This window comes from Homo sapiens, chromosome 9 (assembly GCF_000001405.40).
Source record: "Homo sapiens chromosome 9, GRCh38.p14 Primary Assembly".
Classification (NCBI taxonomy): Eukaryota; Metazoa; Chordata; class Mammalia; order Primates; family Hominidae; genus Homo; species Homo sapiens.
This window is the reverse complement of record NC_000009.12, coordinates 2,359,791-2,381,771: the sequence shown is the minus strand read 5'-3', so window position 1 is coordinate 2,381,771 and position 21,981 is coordinate 2,359,791. Positions and strand designations below refer to the sequence as shown.

At 37.7% G+C, this 21,981-nt stretch overlaps 1 annotated feature.

The window, feature by feature from the left end:
- Window positions 18,772-19,971: an enhancer, noted in NCBI's record as "MED14-independent group 3 enhancer chr9:2361801-2363000 (GRCh37/hg19 assembly coordinates)". NCBI's record gives its function as "activates an origin of replication core promoter dependent on BRD2, BRD4, P300/CBP and CDK7 cofactors, and independent of MED14, by STARR-seq in HCT116 cells {active_cell/tissue: HCT116}" and the evidence as "EXISTENCE:reporter gene assay evidence [ECO:0000049][PMID:35650434]".

The window sequence follows — 21,981 nt, the reverse complement described above, 5'->3', positions numbered from 1 at the left end:
CAGCATTCCCAGCCAGGATTAGACCACACTAGCCAAGCAGTAAACTTAAAGCTCCAGTAGCAAACATAAACTTCACCTTTGTTTCTTCGGGGAACAAGAAGAAGGAGCATCAGTAGGCTCTTCTCTCTGAAAAATACACCTGAAGTCTCGACATCTTGTAACTCCTTCAGTCTTCATTGTGAGGGCAATTATGCCTCAGTTCCCAAAGGTTTTGTAGGGGCATCAATCATCTCAGGCCGGGTTTCTCCCACGCACTAACATCTATAGATCTACTAGTTATAGGTATTCTGAATGCTATAGCATATATAGATTTACTGGTTGTCATTGAGGACAACTTCACAGCTTCTTGTCAAGTGCCATTCATTTGATGGCATTGTTATCATAATTTTCCTGAGAAATTACTTATAATGAAACATTGCAGTGAAGGTTCATATTCCTATTACTGAATATGAACTATTTTTAAATAAACTCCTGAGATATATTTGTGAATTGTACCACAAAAGCTGCTTCATACCATTGAACAAATTGTGCATGATCCGAAGTGGGGAATGTTTCTCACATCCCATTTAACCACTTGCAAACACCTAATCTTCGTTTACAAAAGGCAGGAGTTTCAGAATCCAACAGACCTGGGCTCTGGGTCATAGTTTCCTAGTTACTTAACCTCTCTGAGCCCCCAATTCCTCTTCTGTGTGTAACTGAGAAGGGTGGCAAACGCTATACAGAATTACTACTGTCTTCTGAAGTGCATGGATCAAGGTAAGAGAAAGGCATTCATGTCAAGTTTTCTGTAGGGTTTTTTTATCCTGCTACAGAAATAATGGCTCTGTTGTTTGGATGGGTTTGTGTATTTTGTTTAGTTGTTGTTTGTTTTTTGTTTGTTTGTTTCATGGTGGTTCTAAAAGTGTTGTCCCAGACCAGAGGAATTAACACTACCTGGAAATTTTTAAGATATGCAAATTCTCAACCACACCTACAGAATCAAATCTGCCCCTGCCCGCAAGCTGTGTATGACTGATGCATGCTCAAATTTGAAAACCACTGGACAGCCTAAAGAAAGGCTTCAAGCTGAGTTTAGATGCAGAGAATTGAGAGAATTGAATAGTTGCTGCATAATAGAGTGAGAGGAACCTGGAGTTCCTAGGTACAATCTAGGAAGGGGATATATGAAGACTGGAACCAGTAAGATGGTGAAAGCCTAAGGCGTTGCATGAGTTGACATGGGCAACCGTTATCATGGGCAGTGAGAAAGCCCGAGTCCAGAGGTGCAGGGACTAATAGGACATTAACAGCAGGGCTGTCTAATATGCTCTTCAATTTATTTGCTCTTGATATAATTTTGTAACCTCCTACCTCATACCTACAAATCTTTAGTAAAATTTCTCCTCCATGCAATAGGCTTACATTGGTAATGACCTTATTTTAGGGAGGGAGAGATGAAAATTTGGATACATGCCAAGATGAGATAAATACATTAGTGGATAAAAAACCAGGCAAAAGATATCAATGGAGGCAGAAATGAGAGTCAGAGATGATATTACTCCAGGGCAGAGTTTCTCAACCTCAGCATTACTGGCATTTCAGACTAGATGAGTATTTATGGGGGCTGTCATAGTTATTGTAGGATGTTTAGCAGTATTCCTGACACCCTAGATACCTCTAATACCCCTACCTTAAGTTGTGACTATCAAAAACATCTTCAGTCATTGCCAAATGGAGAGTGTAGTTGTCTTTTTTGTGTCACTATAAAGGAATACCTGAGATGGGGTAATTTATAAAGAAAAGAGGTTTAATTGGCTTATGGTTCTGCAGGCTGTACAGGAAGCATGGCACCAGCATTTGTCCCTGGTGAGGGCCTCAGGTAGCTTACAATCATGGTGGAAGGCAAAGGGGGAGTCAGCATATCACATGGCTAGAGCAGAAGCAAGAGAGGGAGGGAGGAGATGCCACACTCTTTTAGACAACCAGATCTCATATGAACTACTAAAGCAGGAATTCACTCATCACCAAGGGGATGGCTAAGCCATTCGTGAGGGATCAGCTGCCATGATCCAGACACCTCCCACCAAGCCCCTCCTCCAACATGGGGGATCGCATTACATGAGATTTGGAGGGGACAAACATCCAAACCATATCGGGGGTAAATTACTTCCCTTAAAAAACCACTGCTCTGGAATCTTCTGGGTGCCCTGGATTTTCTTAAGGACATGTAATGGGGGAGATAATTGGAGTGTGGTGGGCCATTCTTATCTGAATCATAAGTAAACAGGATATCTAGATGGCTGTTAAATCTTACAGAGTAGTATGAAAACTTAATAAGAATATGTATAAAGTACCTAATACACATAGTACCTGTTTCTTTTCCATTTCTATTATAAACATGTTTAGGAGACCCTGACCCATGATGTTCATAAAGATGTGTGCATTGTTTTGTTTACTATTTGTTAAGAACTGTGAAGGTTGTGAGATTTTTCCATTTGCAAACTAACAAGTTAACCTACTACAGATCATGGATGCTAAAAGAAGACATGAAATAGCTGGATTAGAGAAAAATAGGAAGTTTGTTACGCAGCAATAGCAGCAGCCAGGGTGTCAGCAATCTCTTGAGATGATTTTCCAATCCCAGTTTCCACAGGGTGACACAAAGAGGACAAGATGATATATTCACACAAGTCTTGTCAAGGTTGCCTGTCAAGACAGGAACCTTGAGCTTAGGGATCCTGAAGCTTTCCCATTGAACTGTAAGCATGTCTGCCCTTTGCTCTGGAGGGAGATACTATCTTTACAATTCAAAGTTGTTCATTATACAGACAGAAATCCTTGAAATGATAGTCTTGAACAAAGGCAACCAGTACCTCTGCTCACAAGATGTACAGAAACTCTAGACAGTTTTCCAACTCTGCTATATTGTAGGCTCTTTGGGGACTGGGGCTAAGTTTATTCATCTTTATAACTCTAGTGCCTGTTACTCAGGAGGTCATTAATAAGCACTTTTTGAATAAATTATAAAAATGCACAATAAAATGGCAGGGCAGTTTAAGGAGCTACGTTTAGCCCAACTGAACACACTATCCATTATATAGTTTTATTAGTTTCTCATTGCTGCTCTAAGAAATTATCATAAACTTAGTGGCTTAAAACAACACATGTTTATGGTAGAGCTCTGAAGGTCAGAAGTCTGAAATGATTTTTACCGGGCTAATGTTAAGATAGCTGCAGGACTGTGTTTCTTATGCAGGCTGTAGGAGAGAATCCATTTCTGGCCTTTTCCAGCTTCTAAAGGCCTTATGTTCCTTGGCTTGGAGCCCCTTTCTCCATCTTTAAAGCCAGCAGCATAGCATCTTCAAATTTCTCTCTGGCTCCAACCATTCTGCGTCACTCTTTCACCTATAAAGAGCTTTATGATTACATTGAAAACACCTGGGTAATCCAGACTATTCTCCCCATTTCAAGATCCTTAGCTTAATTACAGCTTTTACCACGTAAGGTAACATATTCACAGCTTCAGGGAATTAGGATGTGGAAACCCCAAGGACCATTATTCTGCCTACTATGAAAGCCTACCCTTTTGTAAATGGTCAGGTTTTACCCCTTCAATAAGACTTCCCTGAGGAATAAAGCATAGTCATTCTGGTTTGAGAATCAGGAGTGAACTTTTCCCTTCACACTATTTTCTCCTCTTATAATTTACATATGGAATACATTTTAATATTTTTTTACAAGTCCTTTGCTTAGCACCCAAAGTATGCTAAGGAAAAAATGCTTTCCAAGAAATAGTAGGCAGCATACTATGTTTACTTGTGATTTTTTCCACATTATGTATAGAAGGGATTATGTATATTTTCTATTCTTCCATAAATTTCTTCTGTAAGAGCTAATTTTTGCCTACAGCAAGAAACTAGTACGTTCTTAAAGTCTTGGTAAGTATGGTTGAACATACTTTAATGATCCTCTTATCTGAGAGGAAAAAAAAATCTTGAGCTAATATGTGCTAGGAGTTTTACTAAACACCTAACCTTATCCATCAGTTAATCCTCAAAACAGATGGGTGCTACCATGACTCTAGTTCACAGGTGTACATTATGCCCAAGGCCCAGTACTTTGTGAGTAGATAAGGCACAAGTCACACTCTGGCTTTCTGACTCTACAACCCTCAAACGTAGCACTTGGGCTAAATTTCTTTCTTAGATCTGAGTCCTTCATTTCTTTTTGTGACATATGACATATACAAATTGCATACAGCACACCCACATTACCTTTAACAGGGGTTGACAAATATGGCCCATGGGCTGAATGCACCCCACCGCCATTTTTTGTGAGTGAATTTTATTAGAATACACCCGTGCCAATACTTTTGCATAATGTCTATGTCTACTTTCAGGCTATTATGGCAGAGTTGAGTAGTTGTGACAGAAACCATATGGCCTATAAAGCCTAAAATAACTACCGCCTCACCCTTTTCAGAAGAAATTTGCTGACTGTGTTGGTTAATTTTATGTGTCAACTTCAGTGTGCCACAGGGTGTCCAGATTAAACATTGTTTCTGGGTGTATCTGTGAGGGAGCTTCCAGATGAGATTGGCATTTGAATCAGTGGACTCAGAGGAGTAGATGGTCTCTCCAATGGGAGTGGCCATCATCCAATCTCCTGAGAGCCTGAATAGAACAGAAAAGGCAGAGGAAGGAGGAATTTGTTCCTTTTTCTTCCTGCCTGCCTGCTTGAGATGGGACATCCATCTTCACTTATCCTTGAAGTGATGCTTACATCATTAGTTTCTTTGCTTCTTAGGCCTTCTGATTAAAACTGAAATTGCATCACTGGCTTTCCTAGGTTTCCAGCTTGCAGACAGCATATTGTGGAACTTCTCAGGCTCCATAAATGTGTGAGCCATTCCCTCATAATAAATCTCTCTCCATATCTAGTTAGATAGATGATAGATAGATAGATAGATAGATAGACAGATAGATAGATAGATATTCTATTATTTCCATTTATCTGGAGAACCCTGACTGATATGCTGGCCCCAACCTAGATGAGAAAAAGGAACATTGGCAGCATCCTGGAAGTCTGCCCTATGCCTTTCCTGCTGATAGCCTCATCTCTCTTCTCCATCAGTAACCACTATCCTGCCTTTTGTGGTCCTTATTTTCTTTTTCTCCTACATGCTGTTAAACAGTATAGTTTAGATTTGCCTCTTTTTTTTACTGTATAAGAAAGAATTATAATAGATTACTTGTCCAAGTGTCCTGTTGCACATTTACATGGGTTTCTGTTGGGTATATATGTAAGAATAGACTTGCTGGGTCATAGGATATATGTTATCTTCAACTTTAATAGATCATTCCAGGTTTGTTTCCAAAGGGTTTTTGTTCGTCTGTTTTTTTGTTTGTTTGTTTATTTGTTTTAATTGACAGTAGTCATACGTATTCATGGGGTACATAATGACATTTTGATACATATAATGTATGGTAATCAGATCAGGACAATTAGCGTATCCATCGTCTCAAACATTTATCATTTATTTCTGCTGGAAATATGCAATATCCTCCTATCGTCCTAGCTGTTTGAAAACATATATTATGTTGACTATAGTCATCCTACAGTGGCGTAGAACGCATTCTTTTTATCTAGTTGTCATTTTCTGTCCTTAAATAGGGGTCCCCACCCCCTGGGCCACTGACTGGTACCAATCCGTGGCCTGTTAGGAACCGGGCTTCACACAGGAGGTGAGCAGTGGGTGAGCAAGCATTACCAACAGACCTCCACCCTGTCAGATCAGTGGTGGTATTAGATTCCCATAGAAGCCAACCCCTATTATGAACTGCGCATGCAAGGGATCTTGGTTGTGTGTGCCTTATGAGAATCTAATGCCTGATGATCTGAGGTGGAACAGTTTCATCCTGAAACCATCCCCCACCCACCATCTGTGGAAAACTGTTGTCCCCAAAACCAGTACCTGGTGCCAAAAAGGTTGGGAAGCCCTGCTTTAACAGATCTCTCCCTATCCCTCCCTTCTCCTTACCCTTCCCAGCCTCTAGTATCCTCTTCTTTACTTTTTACTTCTGGGATCAACTTATTTTAGCTTCCACATAGGAGTGAGAATATTCAGTGTTTATCTTTCTGTTCCTGACTTATTCCACTAATATGATGTCCTCTAGCTCCATCCATGTTGATGCAAATGGCAGGATTTCACTCATTTTTTATGACTGAATAGTATTTTATTGTGTATATATCACATTTTCTTTATCCATTTTTCTCTTGTTAGACATCTAGGTTGCTTCCATAACTTGGCTATTGTGAGTAGTGCTGCTGCTGCAATAAACATGGGAGGGCAGATATCTCTTCAATATTATGATTTTCTTTCCTTTGGATAAATTCTAAGTGGTGAGATTACTAGATTATATGGTAGAATTACTTGTAGTTTTTCGAGACACTCCCATACTGTTCTCCATATTCTCCACAGTAATTGCATTAGTTAGCATTTCCATCAACAGTGTATAAGCCTTTGCATTTCTCTGCACCCTGGGCAGCATTTGTTATTTTTTGTCTTTTTGATACTAAACATCACTGGGGTGAGATGTTCTTTCGTAGTAGTTTTGATTGCACTTTCCTGATGATTAGTGATGTTGAGCATTTTTAATATACTTGTTGGCCATTTGTATGTCTTTTGAGAAATGTTTATTCAGATGGTTTGTCCATTTTTTAATTGTATTGTTTGGGATTTTTTTTCTGTTGAGTTCTGTTTGAGTTCCTTATATATTCTGGGCATCAATACCCTGTCAAATGAATAGTCTGCAAATATTTTCTCCCATTCTGTAGATTGTCTTTGTTGATTGTTGATTGTTTTCTTGCTGTGCAGAGGTTTTAGTTTGATATAATCCCATTGGTTTATTTTGCCTTTGTTGCCTGAGTTTTTGAGGCATTAATCATAAAATATTTCCCCAGACTAGTGTCCTAAAGCGTTTTCCCTATGTTTTCTTTTAGTAGTTTTATTGTTTCAGGTCTCTGATACATCTTAAGTTGATTTTTGTATAGGGTGAGAGCTGGTGTTCTAGTTTTATTATTCTGCACATAGACATCCAGTTTTCCCAGCACCATTTATTGATGAGACTGTCCTTTCTACAATGTGTGTTCTTGGTGGTCTTATCAAAAACCAGTTGGCTGGAGGTGCATAAATTTATCTCTGGGCTCTCTGTTCTATTCTATTATTCTATGTGTGTGTTTTTAGTCTAGTACTATGCTGTTTTGATTACTACAGCTTTATCGTATATTTTGAGGTATGGAAGTGTGATACCTCCGGCTTTGTTCTTTTTGCTCAGGACTGCTTTGGCTATTCAAGGTGCTGTGGTTCCACACAAATTTTAGAGTTATATTTTTCTATTGCCGTGAAAGATGTCATTGGTATTTGGATAGGGATTGCATTGAATCTGTAGATTGCTTTGAGTAGTATGGTCATTTTAACATTAATTCTTCTGATTCATGAGCAAGAGATGTCCTTCTACTTGCTTTTGTCCTCTTCAATTTCTTTTATATTATTTATTTATTTATTTTATATTTTCAAGCTTTTATTTTAGGTTCAGGAGTACAAGTGCGGGTTTGTTGTACAGGTAAATTTATGTCACAGGGGTTTGTTGTACAGATTATTTCATCACCCAGGTACTAAGCCTAGCACTGGATAGTTAGTTTTTCTGATACCCTTCCTCTTCCCACCCTCTACCTTCAAGTAGGTCCCAATGTCTGTTGTTCCCCTTTTTATGTCCATGTGTTCTCATCATTTAGCTCCCACTTTAAATGAAAACACGTGTATTTGATTTTTTGTTCCTAAATTAGTTTGCTAAGGAAATAGTCTCTAGCTCTATCCACGTTCCTACAAAGGACATGATCTCATTCTTTTTATGGCTGCATAGTATTCCATGGCATATATGTACCACATTCTCTTTATCCAATCTGCTGTTGATGGACATTTAGGTTGATTCCATGTCTTTGCTATTTTGAGTAGTGCTGCAATGAACATATGTTTTCATGTGTCTTTATGCTACAATAATGTATATTCCATTGGTGATATACCCAGGAGTGAGATTGTTGGGTAGAATGGTAGTTCTGTTTTTAGCTCTTTGAAGTATCACCACACTACTTTTCACTATGGTTGAACTAATTTAGACTCCCACCAACAGTGTATGCACATTCATTATTCTCTGCAAACTTGTCAGCATCTGTTATTTCTTGACTTTTTAATAACAGCCATTCTGACTGATGTGAGATAGTATCTCATTGTGGTTTTCATTTGCATTTCTCTAAAAATCGGTAATATTGAACTTATTTCTGGGCTCCCCATTCTGTTCCATTGGTCTAGGCGTCTGTTTTTGTACCAGTACCATGGTGTTTTGGTTACCGTAGCCCTGCAGTATATTAATAGTTTGAAGTCAGGTAACGTGACGCCTCCAGCTTTCTTCTTTTGTTTAGGATTGCCTTGACTATTCAGGCTCTTTTTCAGTTCTGTATGAATTTTAAAATAGTTTTTTCTAGTTCTGTGAAGAATGTCATTGATAGTTTGATAGGAATAGCGTTAAATCTGTAAATTGCTTTAGGCAGTATGACCATTTTAATGATACTCATTCTTCCTATCCGTGAGCTTGGAATGTTGTTCTGTTTGTTTGTGTCATTGCTGATTTCTTTGAACAATGTTTTGTAATTTTCATTGTAGACATCTTTTACTTCCCTGGCTAGCTGTATTCCTAGGTATTTTATTCTTTTTGTGGCAGTTGTGAGTGGGATTGTATTCCTGATTTGGCTCTTGGCTTGGCTGTTGTTGGTGTACAGAAATGCTAGTGATTTTTGTGTATCGATTTTGTATCCTGAGACTTTGTTAAAGTTGTTTATCAGCTGAAGGATCGTTTGAGCTGAGACTATGAGGTTTTCTAGATATAGGATCATGTCATCAGCAAAGAGGGATAGTTTGACTTCCTCTTTTTCTCTTCAGATGCCCTATATTTCTTTCTCCTGCCTGTTGCTCTGGCCAGGACTTCCAATACTATGTTGAATAGGAGTGGTAAGAGAGGGCATCCTTGTCTTATGTCAGTTTTAAAGGGGAATGCTTCCAGCTTTTGCCCAGTAAGCATAATGTTGGATGTGGGTTTGTCATAGATGGCTTTTATTTTGAGGTATATTCCTTCAATACCTAGTTTATTAAGAGTTTTTAACAGGAAGAGATGTTGAATTTTATCGAAAGTCTTTTTTGCATCGAGATAATCATGTGGTTTTTGTCTTTAGTTCTATTTATGTGATGAATCACATTTATTGATTTACATTTGTTGAACCAACCTTGCATCCCAGAGATAAAGCTTACTTGATCAAGATGGATTAGCTTTTTGATGTGCTGCTGGATTCAGTTTATGAGTATTTTCTTTATATGCTCTTCAACTTCTTTCATCAGTGTTTTGTAGTTTTTCTTATAGAGGTCTTTCACCTTCCTGGTTAAATTTATTCCCAGGTATTTTATTGTTTCTATAGCTATTGTAAATGGAATTGCCTTCTTGATTTCTTTTTCAGCCATTGTGTGGTTCATGTATAGAAATGCTACAGATTTTTGTATGCTAGTTTTGTATCCTGCAACTTTCCTGAATTCATTTATCTTTTCTAAGAGTTTTTTGGTAGAATCTTTCCATTTTTCTATATATAAGGCAATGTTATTTGTGGACAGGTACAATTTGATTTTTTCCTTTTCAATTTGGATATCTTTTATTTCTTTTTCTTGCCTAATTGCTCTGATTAGGACTTCCAGCACTGTGTTGATCAAGAGTGGTGAGAGTGGGCAATATGTCTTTTTCCAGCTCTTAGAGGAAAAGCTTTCAATTTTTCTCCTTTTAGTATGATGTTAGCTGTGAATTTATCATATATGAACTTTATTATTTTGAGGTACTTTTCTTCTATATGTAATTTATTATCAGTTTTTATCATAAAGTGATGTTAAATATTATCAAAGGCTTTTTCTGTATTTATTGAGATGATTATGGGTTTTGTCCCTTATTCTATTGGTGTAATGTATGATGTTTATTGATTTGCAAATGTTGAATTATCCTTGCATTCCTGGGATAAGTCCCATCTGATCATGGTTATTATCATTCTGATATGTTGTTGGATTTGGTTTGCTATTATTTTGTTGAGGATTTTTGTATCTATGTTTATCAGGGATATTGGACCTTTTTTTGGTTGTTGTGTCATTGTCTTCTTTTGATAATAAAGTTAGGATGGCCTCATAGAATAAGTTTGGAAAAAAAATCACTCTGCTTCAATTTTTTGGAGTAGTTTGAGAACTGGTACTAATCCTTTTTTAAAGTTTCAGTAGAATTCAGTGGTGAAGACATCCATTCATGAATGTTTCTTTGTTGGAAGACTTTTTATTACTGACTCAATGTTGTTAATTGTGATTGGTCTGTTCAGGTTTCCTGTTTCTTCTTAGTTCAATTTTCGTAGGTTGTATGTGTCCAGGAATTTATCCATTTTCTCTAGATTTTCAAATTGATTGGTATGTACATTCATAGTACTCTCTAATGGTTCTTTGTATTTCTGTAGTATTCATTTTGCCATTCAGTATGCCATCTCCTTTTTGTTACTGATTTTTAGGCCTTCTTTAATTTTTCTTAGTCTAGCTAATGGTTTGTTGACTTTATCTTTTTTAAAAAACAGTTTATTGTTTTATTGATCTTTTGCAATTTTTAGTCTCAATTTTATTTCTGCTCCTTTAATCTTCATTATTTCTTTTCTTCTACTAACTTTAGGTTTGTTTTGTTCCTGCTTTTCTAGTTAGTCAAGGTGCTTCATTAGGTTGTTTATTTGAAATATTTCTAGGCTTTTGATATAGACATTAAATGCTAAAAGCTTGCCTGTTAATAATGCTTTTGCTTTGCCCCCATAGATTTTGGTATGTGGTGTTTCTATTCTCATTTGTTTCAAGGAATTTTTAAATTTTATTCTCAATTTCTTTTTCCACTTATTGATCACTCAGGAGCTTGTTGTTTAATGTCCACATATTTGTGTAGTTTTGAATGTTTCTCTTGTTACTGATGTCTAGTTTTATTCCATTGTGGTCAGATAAGATACTTCATATGGTTTTGATTTTGAAAAATTTTTTGAGACCTGTTTTGTGTCCTAACATATGGTCAATCCTGAAGAATGTTTTGTGTGCTGATGAAAAGAATATGCATTTTTCAGCTATTGGGTGAAATGTTCTGTAAATGTCTGTTAGGTTGATTTGGTCTATGGTGCAGTTTCAGTTCAGTGTTTCTTGTTGATTTTCTGTCTAGATGATCTGTTGGGGTGCTGAAGTCCCCAAATATTATTGTATTGAGGTCTATCTCTCCCTTTAGATCTAATAATATTTGCTTTATATACCTGGGCAATCCAGTGTTGGTTGTATACATATTTATAATTGAAATATTCTTTTGTTGAATTTATCACTGTATTATCATATAATGTCTTTATTTGTCTCTTTCCAGCTTTTAACTTGAGGTCTGTTTTATCTGCTATAAGGACAGCTACTCTTACTTGTTTTTGGTGTCCATCTGCATGGAATATCTTTTTCTATTCCTTCATTTGCAGCATATGTGTCTTTACAGGTGGGATAAGTTCTTATAGACAGCTTATAGTTGGTTCTTCTTTTTTTAATCCACTCAGCCAATCTATATCTTCAAATTTTCATTCAAAATTTGATAGATGAGCACTTACTTCTGTCATTTTATTGATTATTTTCTGGATATTTTATTAATCGCTTGTTCCTTACTTCCTCTTATTGTTTGCTTTTGTTATTGGGTCTTTTCTGTAGTGATAAGGTTAGATTCTCTTTCTCCTTTGTGTGTCAACTCTACCAGTGAATTTTACAGTTTTACATGTTTTCATGATGGTGTTTATACTTCCAGATGTAAGACTACCTTGAGCATTTTCCATAAGGCTGTTTCAGTGATGATGAATTCTCTCAGTTTTTGCTTGTCTGCAAAAGATTTTGTTCTTCATTTCTGAAGGATAATTTTGCTAAGTATAATATTCTTGCCTGGTAGTTTATTTATTTCAGTACTTTGAATATATTATCCTATTTTCTCCTGGCCTTTAAGGTTTCTGCTAAGAAGTCCTCTGTTAGTTTAATGAGGATTCTTTTATTTGTGACCTGAAACTTTTCTCTTGCTGCTCTTAAAAATCTTTGTTTCTTCTTCTTCTTTTTTTTTTTTTTTTTTGTTAAAAAAAAATCTGGCCTTACTGGATCAAAATTCCTTGTTTCTTTCTGACTTTTGATAATTTGACTATAATGTGTCCCAGAGATGACCTCTTTGGGTTGAATTTATTTGGGTTTTTTTGAGCTCCCTAGACCTGGATGTCCATCTCTCTCCAAACCTTGGGAAATTTTCTGCTATTATTTCATTACATATGTTTTTTCTCACCTTTATTTCTTCTCTTCTTCTTCTGGAATACTCATAATATGAATATTTATTTGCTAAATAGTGCTGCATAAATCTCATAGGCTTTCTTCATTCTTTTTATTCATTTATTTACTTATTTTTCTCTGTGTTATTTCAAACCTGTCTGCAAGTTCAGAAATTCTTCTGCTTGGTATAATCTATTGTTGAGGTGCTTGATTGTATTTTTTATTTTTATTCCCTAAATTCTTCAGTTCTAGGATTTTTGTTTGGTTCTTTTTTATGACATCTATCTCTTTGCTAAATTTCTCATTCAAATCATGAATTATTTTCTTGATTTAATTGAATTGTTTATCTGAATTCTGAATTGTTTTGTATCTCACTGAGCTTCCTTAAGATTATTATTTTGAATTCTTTTTCTGGAATTTCATATATTTTCTTATGATTGAGGTCTATTACTGGAGAATTATTGTTTTCCTTTGAAGGTTACATGCTTCCTTGCTTCTTCATGGTTGACATATTGCTACACTGATTTCTACACATCTAAGAGAAAAGTCACCTCTTCCAATTTTGCAGAGGAGGTTTCATAGGGAACGACTTACTCAGATGAATGGGTCTTGGGGTGTCAGTTTGGTGGCATGTGTTGGTCTTGGTTTTAGGTAGACTCAGTAGTTTAGTCTTCAAGTAGTGTCTTTAGTTGTAATCCACAGTAGTGATGTTTGTGAGTTTCTCAGTGACCTAGGCTGAGAGCATCTGTGATGGAAGTGGTGTGGCTTTTCCAAGGGTAGGCTCACCAGGCTGTTTCTCAGGTTAGGAGCACAGGTGTGCACATGATGCATCAGCCAATTTGGGGTCTGGCTCACTGGAGTTGTGGCCATGGGCATGTTACTCTGACTGGGAGCACAGGTCCATGGTTGTTTGGCCATCCTAAGGGAATGCCCACCAGGAGTGGCCTGTGGGACTGTTCCTCAGGCCTAGTATGCAGGCATACATCTGCTCAGCTAACCTGGGGTCATGTCTGCTGGGGGCAACCTACGAGACTGTTTCTAAAGCCCAGGACATAGCTGCATGACTACTTGGCTGGTCTAGGAGGTTTGTCTGTGGGTGGTGGCCCACCTAGCTGTTTCATGGGTCCAGGATGCTGGTGTGTCACTGCTTGGTTGGCCTGGGGCCTTGACCACTAGGGGCAGCCTGTGGAGTTATTTCTCAGTCCTAGGGTGTGTGTGCACAGCTCCTTGGCCAGCCTAAGGGAGTTTCTGGTAGAGGCAGCCCACAGATCTGTTTCTCAGACTGATTGTAGATGCAGGGCTGATGGACTGGTCATAGGCCTGTCTGCAGGGTTTGGGGTACCTCAGGGCTGTTTCTCAGGCTCTGGGCCCAGGTGCATTACCATTCTGCTGGCCTGGGAGCATGTCAGCAGCTTGGAGGCTTGAGAGTCTCTCTTGCCCAAAGGCAGCCTTACTCTGGGCAGGATTGCCAGTCTGTTCCTCTGGCTGGAAGTAAGGGTGGCAGGAGTTGGTTTCTCTGCTGTCTAGGATCAGCCTCATACTCAATCCTGGGCCTAGGCTCCACACTGCTGGGATTGTGGTGTTCAGCTATTGGTATGGGCACAGTAGTATGAAGATAGGATTCCAGTGCTGGAGAAGTACAGTGCCTACTGGTCTCTAGAGCAGGGCACACTCCAGAGGTGGCTCTGGTCTCAAGATAGCACCATGCTGCAGCAGCATGGCCCACAGGGAATGGGTGGAGGGGTAGAGAAGTTAAACCTTGACCTCCCAATCCAGAGTAATGCAACTGCATGAATCCTCAGCACCTCTTCAAACTGGGCGACTGTGGGATTCTCCTGTCATAAGGACTGTAGGTGTTTGTGGTGGTAATGTGGGCTGGTGGAGATCTTCTGCTTACCTTCCTCCACACCTCCCAAAGGAAAGTGCCTCCTAACTCTAGGCAGATTTGATCTAGGTGAGGGAGATGGGGCTACACAGTTCAGGTGCTTCCATACTGCTGTCCTGGACTTCTGATCACCACAGGTGTGTCTCTACTCACCTGATGCACTCCAGCACTCTGGCGTCAACACTCCAGTCAAAGCTTAGCTATTTTTTCATTGCCTTGCTGCTTTGTTGTGAGAGGGACAAATGCCAGGCATCTCGAGTAAACCTTCTTGTTGACATCACTCTATCTATTGTCTCCAGAAGGTTTTATAGACTTATACTCCAACTGTTGGTCCACATTCTCATCAACATTGATACTGTCAAATATATGAGGTTTTATTTGTCAGTTTGTTAAGGATGCCTGGAGGTAAACTTATCTCACTGTGGTTTAACTTGTGTTTTCGTAATTACAGATTGAGGACTTTTTCATATGCCTATTGTCCACTTGAATTTTCTTATTATCTGAAGTTCTTATCCTTTTTCCTAACAATTTATGTTTTTCTTATTGATTTCTAGTTCTTTATAAATTCTGGATACTAGCCTTTTGTTAGTTATATGTAAGGCAAATCACTTCTCTCATTCTATGGCTTTTGTTTTCACTCCTTTTATATTGCCTTTTGATGAAGAAAAGTTCTTGATTTTTAAGGTAGTCAAATTTATCAGTCTTTTATTTTATGATTAGTGCTTTACTGTGTCTTAAGTTCTCCCCTACCCTGAGGACACTCTCCTATATTATCTCCTTAAAGCATTATAGCTTTGACTTTCATACTAGGTCTTCAACTAGAATTTACTTGTGTATGTTGTGACATAGGGATCCAATAATTTATTTTTCAATATTGCTACCCATTCGTCCCAACAGAATTTACTGACAATACTTTCCTTCCTGTTTTTCTTCAGGGCCCCTCTTTCATATATGTAGGGACCATGTATGCACGGATGTGCTTTCTAGGTTGTCTATTTTGTTCCATTGGCACAGAATCACCATATCGGTATTATTGGTGTGTATATCTCCACACCAATATAATACTGTCTTAATAAGTGTAAAATAAGTTGTGAAAACTAATAAAACAATTCTTCCCATTCTTGAAGAAAAACACCTTCCATTGTTCTTCTTCAAGAGTCTATTTGACTATTTTTGGCTATTTGTACTTGCATATAAATTTTATAATTGACGTGCCAAATTCCACAAGTTCTATTAAATTTGTGAATCAATTTGGGGAGATTTGACAATTTTTACAGTATTGAGTCATTCACTCCATGATCATAGTATGTCTATATTTATTATCATCTTTAAAATTTTTCAATAAAGCTTAATTCCTTTCTCATTATAGGTGCTATGTGTGTTTTGTTATTCTGGTTTATTTTTTAAAAATTTATCTTGGATGCTGATTTATAGGACTATAAATGATTCTGTATTAAATTGTGTATCTAGACACTTGCCAGAGTCTCAAGTTAATTCTGGAAATTTTCTATGTATCTTTTTATTTTAGAGATAAAGATTATAACACCCACAATGGTGGGAGATTTGTTTTCAACTGTTAAAACTTTCTTTTTCTGACTTAGTGCACTGACTACGATCTTCAGTACAATTTGAAATAACAGTAGTCATAACAGTTACTTTCTTGCTTCTGATTTCAAAGGGAAATATAACATTTTACAATTAAGCATGGTATCTGCTGAACAGTGTTCTATATACTCTTTCTGAATTAGGTAGTTCCTTTCTTACTACTCATTTGTTAAAAGATTTTTTAAAAAATCACAAGTGATATTGCATTTTATCATAAGCTTTTTCTTTATTCATTGATATGATTATTTGATTTTTAAAATTAATATCTTAAGGTGGCTAATTACATTAATTCCAAACCAATCTTTAAACTTACCTTGCTTTTCTGGAATAAACCCAATTTGGTCCTAATGCATTATCTTTTTTATATATTACTAGATTCAGTTTGCTAGTATTTTGTTTAGGATTTTGGCAACTATATTAGTGAGGGAAGTTGGCCTGTAGTGTTCCTTTCTTATTACTGTCCTTGTAAAGCTCTAGTAAGAGAGTTATTTTCATAAAATGTAAGTATCATGTGATGAAAACATGTTATGTTTATACCATACCATTTTGACATTTTTTATATATGAGACAGTATTTTTCAACTTCCATTGCAGTTATGTTAACCAATAGAAATATGGGTACAAAGAATATGTGCTTATAGCCTACGTCCTATAAGAGTGGTTGCACCTTCTCCATATTTTCTCTTGTAGGCCATTTGCATTCCAGATGGTGTAATTCCAAGACAGAGAAGCAGTGGGGTATAGTATGAATTACCCCTAGAGTGTGTTCCATCTTTTTCTATTATCTTGTAAAAAAGAATTTGTATTATATTTTAAAACTTATTTTTTTAAGACTTGAGGTGGAATCCACCAATGGCTTTCTTGGTAAGAAGATATATGACTTCTGATTCCATTTCATTAATGGTTGTAGAATTGTTCAGCTTTTCTATTTCTCCTTAAGACAATAATGATAAATGACATTTTTAAGGAATTTGATCATTTTGTTAAGTGTTTCCAGTTTATATAAAGTTATTTGCTTATATAAATCATTTACTTATTTACATAATAAGTATCCACTTATTACATTTTTAAATGTTTGCAACACCTTTTAAATATTTATTTTTTCATTTCTGATACTCATGATTTGTGTTCTTTGTTTCTTTTTTATCAGTCTTGCCTGAAATTTCTCAATTTTATTAATCTTTTCAAAAATCCAACTTTTAACTTTGTGGATTCTTTTTATTTTGTGTGTAACTGTTAAAGTGTTTCTAATCTTATCTTCATTTCTTTCTTTGAGTTCATTTAGCTTTTATTCTGATTTCTTCAGGTAAATTATATTTCATTAACTTGCAGCCTTTATTTTTTTCTAAAAGAAGAATTTACAATTATAAATCTCCAAATGCTGCCACTTTTCTCCCCTTACAGAAAGGCAATAAAGTCATTTTCATTGCTCAATTAAAAATATTTTCTATTTTCATTTTATAATTTGTTCTCTGACCTATAGATTATTTGGAAGTAGATTTCCTAGTTTCTATATTAACAAGAATTTTCTAATTTTCTTTTTGCTATTGATTTCCAGATTAATTGCAACGTGTCAGAGAACATGGTATATAAAACTCGTTCGGGTTCTTCTTAATTTCCCAAGTTCTATTTTCACTTAGACTGTAGTTCATTTTTATCATGTGACCTGTTTGATATTTTAAAGATTTTTTAAAAAATTAAATTGCTTTTACTTAAAGTTTTGGTTTAGATAACTTAATTTTCCATTCTCAAAATCACATCTATGCATGTATGTGTGTGTATGTATATCTGTATGAATGTTTTGGGGGTGTCCCATACAATATGGTTGAGCCTCTGAAATGATAGATCCTAACATGGCCAGGGGATATTATTTTGGGACCCACTTGTCAGGCTTGAAATCCATAAGGCCGCCTTCTGCCTCCCCAAATGCTACATTTCTCTCAGAATGTAGGAATCATGCTTTGTCCCTTTCTTTTGGTAGAGCTCAGCAATGCCTACAAAATCCTTAAGCAAAACTGATTATCAGATGAATTCCAACTCTAAGGAGTTTGGCTTGATTGTACTAGGTCTTAAAAATCTTTGCTAAAGGCAACAACTTATATCTTTACAAAACTTTTGAGTTTTTAAAGCACTTTAAGCATTGTCTTCTCATTTAACCCTCACATCATCCTTGTCAGCTAAGCAAGGCAAGGATAGTGGATAAGGACTGTTCTCCTTACTCACTAACAAGTGGATAAGATAGTGGATAAGAGAACAGTCCTGGCTCTTAGGTCCCACCTCCCTCCTCTGTGGAAAGTGCTCCAAGGAGGAGGCTAGTGTTCCACAGAGGAGGGAGGTGGAACCTACGAGCCAGGGCTGTTCTGTTGATTTAGCACTCTTCAGCCACAATGCTCAGCATCAGCACAACTCTAACATAGAATATTCTCAAAATGAAAACTGTGAAAGCTGTACTGCTTAATAAATAGTCAAATATTACGAACTGAGCTGTGAGAATGAGAGTGTACATTCTAACAGTTGTCAACAGCCCTTCTTCTCACAAGTTACGCAATTTCCCATCCTGAAAATAAAAACGAACGTCACCATTATTATTTGTATTATTATTACCATCACCACTCATTCTACTACTAATAATTAGGAGTTTAAGAATCTGGCTTTCTTTTCCTTCTCCTCACACCTTTTCTTTCTTCTCTCTCTTCATCTCCTTCGCTATATCCCTCCCTTCTTTCTTGTTTTACTGTATTCTTCTTGTCGTGCTTTTCTTCTTTCTTTTCTCTCTTCTTGTTTATTTTTTATACAGAGCTTTCCATTTGCATTTGAATGAAATTGAGCAGGGGGATTTAGGAGAGGGTAAGGGAGGAGGTTAAGTTAGTTTCAAGTTGTGTTTTCCGGGCTCAGGGATTGGTGTTTGAGCTACCCATAGAACTCAGCTGAAACCTATGTGAACTTAAAGTAACCCAAATAACCCCAGGTCTCAATATGTTTATGAACAAATAACATCATATTACAGTTAAATCTGAACGTTACAAACTCTAGTATCTGGACCACGACATACAGAATTTCCAACCTCATGAAAAGAACCCCGTACCAGTAACTTGGAAGAGTATCCAGGATTATCCTACATACATCACTCAACATTGTTCTCTGTCCCTTTTATCTTTACCATGCTGCCTTTCTTGTCAGCTGCAATGAGGTAGACATCCTGTGGATATCCTTAACTGCCATTTTTTTTTCTTAAGAGACAGGGTATTGCTGTGTCATCCAAGCTATACTGCAACCTTGAACTCCTGGCCTCAAGTGATCCTCTTTCCTTGGCCTCCAAAAGTGTTGGCATTACTGCTATGAGCCAACACACCAGGCCTGGCTGTCATATGCTTAATCCTCAAGTCACCTCACTAATTCAGCAGATGAAATCACAATAATAAGAATGCCTTATTCCCTCTGTCACACTCAGTTAGAGGGAGTGCCACGGCAAGATTGTTTATGCCCAGACATGTTACTGAGTTTAATAATATAGCCACTTGAGTTTCTATGCAAAGTGTGGACTAACACACAGGTAGGTGAGTCAGGGTGGATCTTAGTACCAGCTGCCAAGATTTACCCAGAGTCATGCTTACCTCACACTCAGACGTGCAAATTTTTTCTTCCTCATGGTGAATTCTCTCTCAAGGACCCTGACTTTTTTTGTTTTTTTTCTTGAGACAAAGTTTCACTCTTGTTGCCCAGGTTGAAGTGCAATGGCGTGATCTCAGCTCATTGCAACCTCCACCTCCTGGCTTCAAGCGATTCTTCTGCCTTGGCCTCCCGAGTAGCTGGGATTACAGGTGACTACCACGATGCCCAACTAATTTTTTGTATTTTTAGTAGAGACGGGGTTTCACCATGTTGGCCAGGCTGGTCTCAAACTCCTGACCTCAGATGATCCACCCGCCTTGACCTCCCAAAGTGCTAGGATTACAGGCACGAGCCACCGTGCCTGGCCCAACCCTGACTTTTTCTAACAGACTTTTGAGGACCTGTTTACCTAACTCTGCCCAGGCCATGTGACATGCCAGGTGGTGTATGTCTGAAGTTCAGTTTCAGGCTGGTATGAAGTATTCCCAGGAGGCTCCTTGGCTCCCATGATAACAAGAGGGTGAAGTAGTCAAGTAGGCAGTAAGGATTAAGGTTCACTTGTCTTCCTCTATGACTGTTGTATCCACATCTTGGGTTAAGCCCAACTGAGGTCTTTGGTATCCCCTGCAGACTACCCATCGATATCTACTCTCCTCTTCTTTTTGAAAAAGAAAATTTAATTTTATTCAGAGTGACAATGTATTCTGCTTAAAAATTGTGTGTCCTAATCTCTCTTGTAGATAGGGGTGACCATACAACTAAGGTCCAGCCAATGAGATGGAAGTAGAAGTGGGTGGGGCTTCAGGAACTCTCCTTAAAGTAGAAAGAGACCCAAGCTCAGGCACATGTTTGCCCTTCTCCTCCCTCCTCCTTAGGTCCTGGAATTGGATACAAATGGCCAAGGTTCTAAAAGTGCTTTGTACCTTGACGTAAACTTAAGGTTTGCAGGTAGGCACTAAGCAAGGATAGCAGTGCAGAAAGGTAAGAGGGAATCTGATTCCTGTGATAGGATTTGCCGTATCAGCCCTGGACTTGCTACTTCCAGACACTGATTACTAGACAGAAAAATAAACCTGTAATTGTACTGGCTCTTGCTATTTTCAGTCTTCTGTTAGTTGGCACCTTTTCCTACTTAGAACTGATGAAGTCCTCTTGTGGTGAGCTGGGTTTGGAGCAGGTTTTCCTGGGATCCTATCCCCAGCTGCCCCATACTTACCTTGTGTCCTTGAGCAATTTATTCAAGTTCCTTGTGCCTGCTTAATTTCCTCATATGAGGAATAGAATAATTAGAGCACCTACTCATAGTAATTAAGAGGATCAAATTAGATAATACTTATAAAGTCCTTAGAATAGTCCTTGGCACAATCTTCGTTAAATAAATGTTATTTTTGTTATTACCAGTATTATCATTACACATGAAAGGAGAACACCTGTTTGTATATTGATTGTTTGGCTTTCTTCAGTGTTGTTATATCTACTGTTTCATTGAAAACTGCTCAAGTTCTACTCATCTGAGTCTTACATCACAGATGAAGAGGGAGCTTCTTGCTAGTAGCCTTTGTTTCCTCCTTACCTGTAGAAAGGTGAGAATTGTAGGTGTATATTTGTATACATGTTTCCTTCATGATTTTTGACACCAAAGAATGACCTGGTTTTAATAAAAGTTATAGATCCAGTATTTTATCTTTAAGCTCAATGTCAGCAAAAACTCTGGCAAGCCTATAGTTTCTTCATTCCAGATTTTAAATTGCTCTGCAAACTGCATTACTTCCGCCCAGCATGACAATATAGCCAACTCTGCCACACAGGGCAGGATGAAGTGGCTGTTACAAAGCTTTTGCAGACATATGTCACTGTTTTGCAAGGAAAAAAAAAAAACTGAAGTGCAGAGAGGCCCACTTCAATCCAAAGGCAGAAAACCTCAAGCAGAAATCCATCCAGATGCCCCTCAAGTGACTCCCTTGGTGATGAAAATAGGAATGGTTGAAATTGAAAATGACATGGGAAGAATGAGGCACTATCTGAAGGAGACACAAAAAACAAGAAGCCCATGAATGCAATTTGTTCCCACTCCATTATTCAGCATCTGCTGTTAACCCTTTGTCATTGGCATCCTTTTGTGTTAGGCCACCTCAGAGATTTCTGGTTTTCAGAGACAGATGATGAGTTCCAAACCCACTGTGAATAGGCCATTTGCTGACATTTGTTTCTCTAGCAAGGGTGAATGCGTAGGGCTTGTTTGCAGCAGGACAGCTGCACATTGTCTTACTCCTGCCTGAGTACAGGGACAGCAGCAAGACAATGGCCAGCCCTCGGGGGCAGCCCTTAGGAAGATCACCAGCCAGGTGCATGGCTTCGAGGTGGCCAGTTTGGGTTTATTTTCAGAAGGTGCTGGTTTACATTCTCCTGGGTTTGCCTCTTGGAAAGAGGCAGAAACAATGAAAAGGAGTCAGAGAAGAAGCAAA